Genomic DNA, 4,126 nt, shown 5'->3' on the forward strand with positions numbered 1-4,126 from the left:
ATGGGCCCTGAATCTATTATTCAGGTGATAAACACAGAGAACAAATTCGTTACTTCATGATGGACTTTCCAATGGACTGTGAGGATGCTCTCGGTAATGGACAAGAGTGGGGCGGGGGGCACTGATCCTTCGGCCTTGAAAAAACAGAATGTTATGAGCATCATTTTGATCAAAGAGTATGTCTGAGGGTTTCCTAAGTGTAGACTTTACCATAATGAGACAGCAGACCCACACTTCTTCAATTCTGAAAATAAAACAAACAAAGCAATCTTATTCATTCATCTACACTGTCAATGAGCACTTATTCGCAGTCAGGGTTAATGATGAATTTTCTATCCCATAAACTAATGAAGAATAAAGACCACTCTAGAGAGTTTATAATGTAATATATAAAATGTTCTGTTAGGACTTGAACCTAGTACCTGGGAATTGAAATGTGTCATAATGGACCTTCCAGAATGTCCTCAGAAAAGGCTTAGGTTCCCAATTTCCTCTTTCAATGTTCTTCTTTTTAGGGGCGTGGTTGTTTTGGGCTGTGCCAGGGTCACTACATTCATTTTGATAAGATATCTGTATGGCGGGATTGAGAAAAAAATGAACAGACTGGGCATGGTGGCTCACATCTATAATCCCAGCACTATGGGAGGCTGAGGCAGGCAGATCACTTGAGGTCAGGAGTTTGAGACCAGCCAGGCCAACATGGAGAAACCCTGTCTCTACCGAAAATACAAAAATTAGCCGGGCGTAGTGGTGGGCACCTATCATCTCAGCTACTCAGGAGGCTGAGGCATGAGAGTCTGAGAGGTGGAGGCTACAGTGAGCCGAGATCGTGCCACTGCACTCCCGCCTGAGTGACAGTGCAAGACTCCATCTCAACAACAACAAAAAAACAGTGTGCAATTGACTTGCATAAGGCTCTTCAAACAGGCTCTGTGGACGGAGAAGTGACCCTGAAAAAGTAGGGTGGAATACGGTTCATGAAGCCCTCATAAAACAGAGAAAGTTGTAACTGGATTTCGCAGATGACAGTGGCCAAAGCTTCTGCCCTGGAAAATAAATAAAAGGACAAGGGCTTCCTCCCGCTCATCAGCCCTTAGCATCCCTGATAACTGACATTTCCATCTCCGGGGAGAGGACAGACTAAGTATTTAAACATTGGACTAAGTCAACATTGGACTAGATTCTGTCTCAGGATGCCCAAATTTTTGTCCCTTTCCCATTTAAATAATCAGATGATCCATCCCAGATCAAGGAGGCTTTCTTAACTTTGGCAGCTCATCCGACACTCTTAGGAAGTCTCATGTTCCCAGAGGAGGAGACCCCAGCGGTGACTTCTGAAAGCCGAGACAGAGAGTGGAAGACGTGAAAGTATGGAGGAGCTGGGTGATAGAAGGTGATCCATGCAGAAGCAGCAGGAACTATAAAATCTCTGAAGACCAAGAAGGTCAGTTCAGGGCCATTGAAGAATCACACTTGGCTGGAGACTGGTATCAAGTGGAGGAAGCCACAAATTATGAAACACCATAAGTAAAAGGCGCCAGGTCCCCCAGGGGCTTGCTAGCTACCGAAATACATTTTCATTCTCTCTTGGAGCAACGAGGAGTGGTGAAAGATTTTATTAATGGGAGTGGCATGGTCACTGTACTTTAGAACATCACTCTGGGCAGTGTGTGGTGAATGAATTAGAGGAAGGTCGGTTAGGCCCTGCTGCAGGTGTCCAGGTGAGGACTAGGGTCTAGAGAGAATGATAGGAGTGATGGAAAAGAGGAATTGGGTGCATTTGAATGTCATTGAGAAGGACTGCATTGCATTCATTTAAGCTTCCAGGACAGCATAACAATTTTTTAAATGTAGAAGTATACTAGTATCTTACTATGCTCAGGAATAAGTATAATCAGATTAATATGTAGCTTCCCTTCCACTGGGCTGAACTGTTTAGGGTGGGTTCAGCCTTCCTTGGTGGATATGAGTATAAAAGCAATCAAGGTCACTAACCCACTCAAGTAACAAGAACCAGTCTATTAAAAGAAAAAAAATCAGTCGAAAACATTGCTATATCCCAGTCCTGAATGTTGAAGCAATTGGTGAACACTTTTCAGTGACTTACATAGACTAGGAACGCATCAGCAGGAGAAACAAGTTTGCATTTGCAAGTTATTCTTCATCACTCAGATTCCAGGAAAATCTCTTTTACTGCAAATCCGACCCAACCCCTTGAGACCATCCATCACCGCAGTGTGAACCTCTCCCCTGACCTTTGCTCACCATGTTGATTCATACCTAATTAGTTGTCACTTCATTTCCAGGTGACCTTTTGTAACTACCCAAGGGGTTCTTCCTGCCCACTGCGCAAATAAAGACCACAACACTGCAATAAAGAAAGAGTTTCACAGACAGGAGGCCAGCCACGCCACGTGGGAGGTGGAGTTAACACTCAAATCAGTCTCATCCAAGGCTCATAAGCAGGAGCTTTTCAAAGACAGTGTGGGGTAAGGGCCGGTGGTTGCTAGGCAATGAGTGCTTGCTGCTGATGGGTTGGGGCAGAGATGAAGTCATAGGAGATCCAAGCTGTCCTCTTGCATTGAATCACTTCTGGGTGGGGTCACGGGAGTGAGATTGGTCTACATGGAGACATGGTGTCAGATATCAAAAAAAAAACAAACAAACAAACAAAAAAACAAACAAACCAAAAAACCCTGAAAATGTATTATATTTCAAAAGGTCAATCTATAATAGTGGTGTTATCTGCTGGAATGACTGACAATGTATGTCCACACTTTAGCAGAATTCAGATTCCCCTTCTCCCCCAGCCTGATGGCCTTTCATTAGCTTTACAAAGGCGGTTGAGTTTTGGGGAAGTGCTATTATCATTTAAACGATTAATATCAGCTAAATATCTTCCAAAGTCAGCTCAGCCCAAAAGCCCAGGAATAAATTAGAAAAAGGCAAAATGGGGGTGGGTTAGAACAGATCTCTTTCATGGCCATAATTTTCTCACTGTTATAATTTTTGCGCAGGCACTTTCCCTCTCTTGGTATAAAATCACTGCCAGGAGATGGCCTCCAAATCCGAGCAGCCAGAAAAGCTATTAGGGCAGCTCATTCTCATGGGGATCCTTGACTGGTTTTAGCAGGATCCCACCTGCCTGGTTTTCTCATCTCACCTTGTGAGTACTGGGAGAGGCACTCTGCAGCCTTTTTCTCTATAATCCGTCCCTTTTTCCAGCAGCTCAAATGAAATCCCCGATCTAACACATCCTGTTTTTGTCAGCACTGCCTCATGTGCTTTCATCCCCTAGAAAAACCAGTTTCCCTCCCAATTGGCCCTACTCACGCTGTCCCACCTGTTACACGTGCCTTTCCAAGTTGCTTCTCTGTACAGGAGAAATAACAGTCCACACCCTACTTCTCACCTGTATTCTCCTCTTCAGTGATTCTTCCATCCCCTTCTCCTTTCCACGCTAGAAGATAAGCCTCTGTCCCCTCTCAGACATAGACTTTTCCATCTCATAAATACATGCCACCAACTAAAAATTCTGAGCTAGTTACCCTCTGCTCTGCTCTTTTCTAAGCTAAAAGTGTTTCAATTACATGATGTTTCCTGGTTCACTCTTTTTGAATCTACACCAAGACCAAACAGGGATTTAAAAAATCATTAACCTGAATGAGAATCATCTCATAAACTCCTTTTTATGAAAGAGGAAATGGAGGCACAGGGAGTCCAGTGATGGGTCCAAAGTCACACAGTGATTCAGTGACAGAGCAACACAGCCAAAGCTCAAATTGGCTCCACAAACTCCAATCTATGTGCTCTGTTGTGGATGGGGAAGCCAACCATCTCAGTTTGCCCATGACTCAGAGCTTTCCTGGGATGCAGAAGTTTACTGCTAAAGCCAGGAAGAGTTCCAGGCAAACTGGAGTGATTTGGCCACCCTGGTTCTGTGCAAACGTTGGAGATAAGCTTGTTGTTGCATCCAGGACAGGACAATGGGGTGGCCAAGAGGGTGGACTGTGGAGCCCGACTGCCTGGGTTCCAACCCCAATTCTCTCATCAATTGGCTGGTGACTCAACAAGCTGCTTAGTGTCTCTGGGAACAAATTTCTGTATCCTCAAAAAGGGCCTGACA

General features: G+C 44.4%; 1 long non-coding RNA gene across 1 annotated transcript; it reads right to left on the minus strand.

Moving 5' to 3' along the window:
* Positions 1-209: 209 nt before the first annotated feature.
* On the minus strand, positions 210-3,588 carry LINC02441 (long intergenic non-protein coding RNA 2441). The gene is made up of 3 exons (NR_131985.1): positions 3,413-3,588; positions 2,281-2,621; positions 210-244 (listed from the first exon to the last, which is right to left on the minus strand). It is a non-coding gene; the product is annotated as a long intergenic non-protein coding RNA 2441 (long non-coding RNA).
* Positions 3,589-4,126: the final 538 nt, after the last annotated feature.

This window comes from Homo sapiens, chromosome 12, assembly GCF_000001405.40.
Source record: "Homo sapiens chromosome 12, GRCh38.p14 Primary Assembly".
NCBI classification, from domain to species: Eukaryota; Metazoa; Chordata; class Mammalia; order Primates; family Hominidae; genus Homo; species Homo sapiens.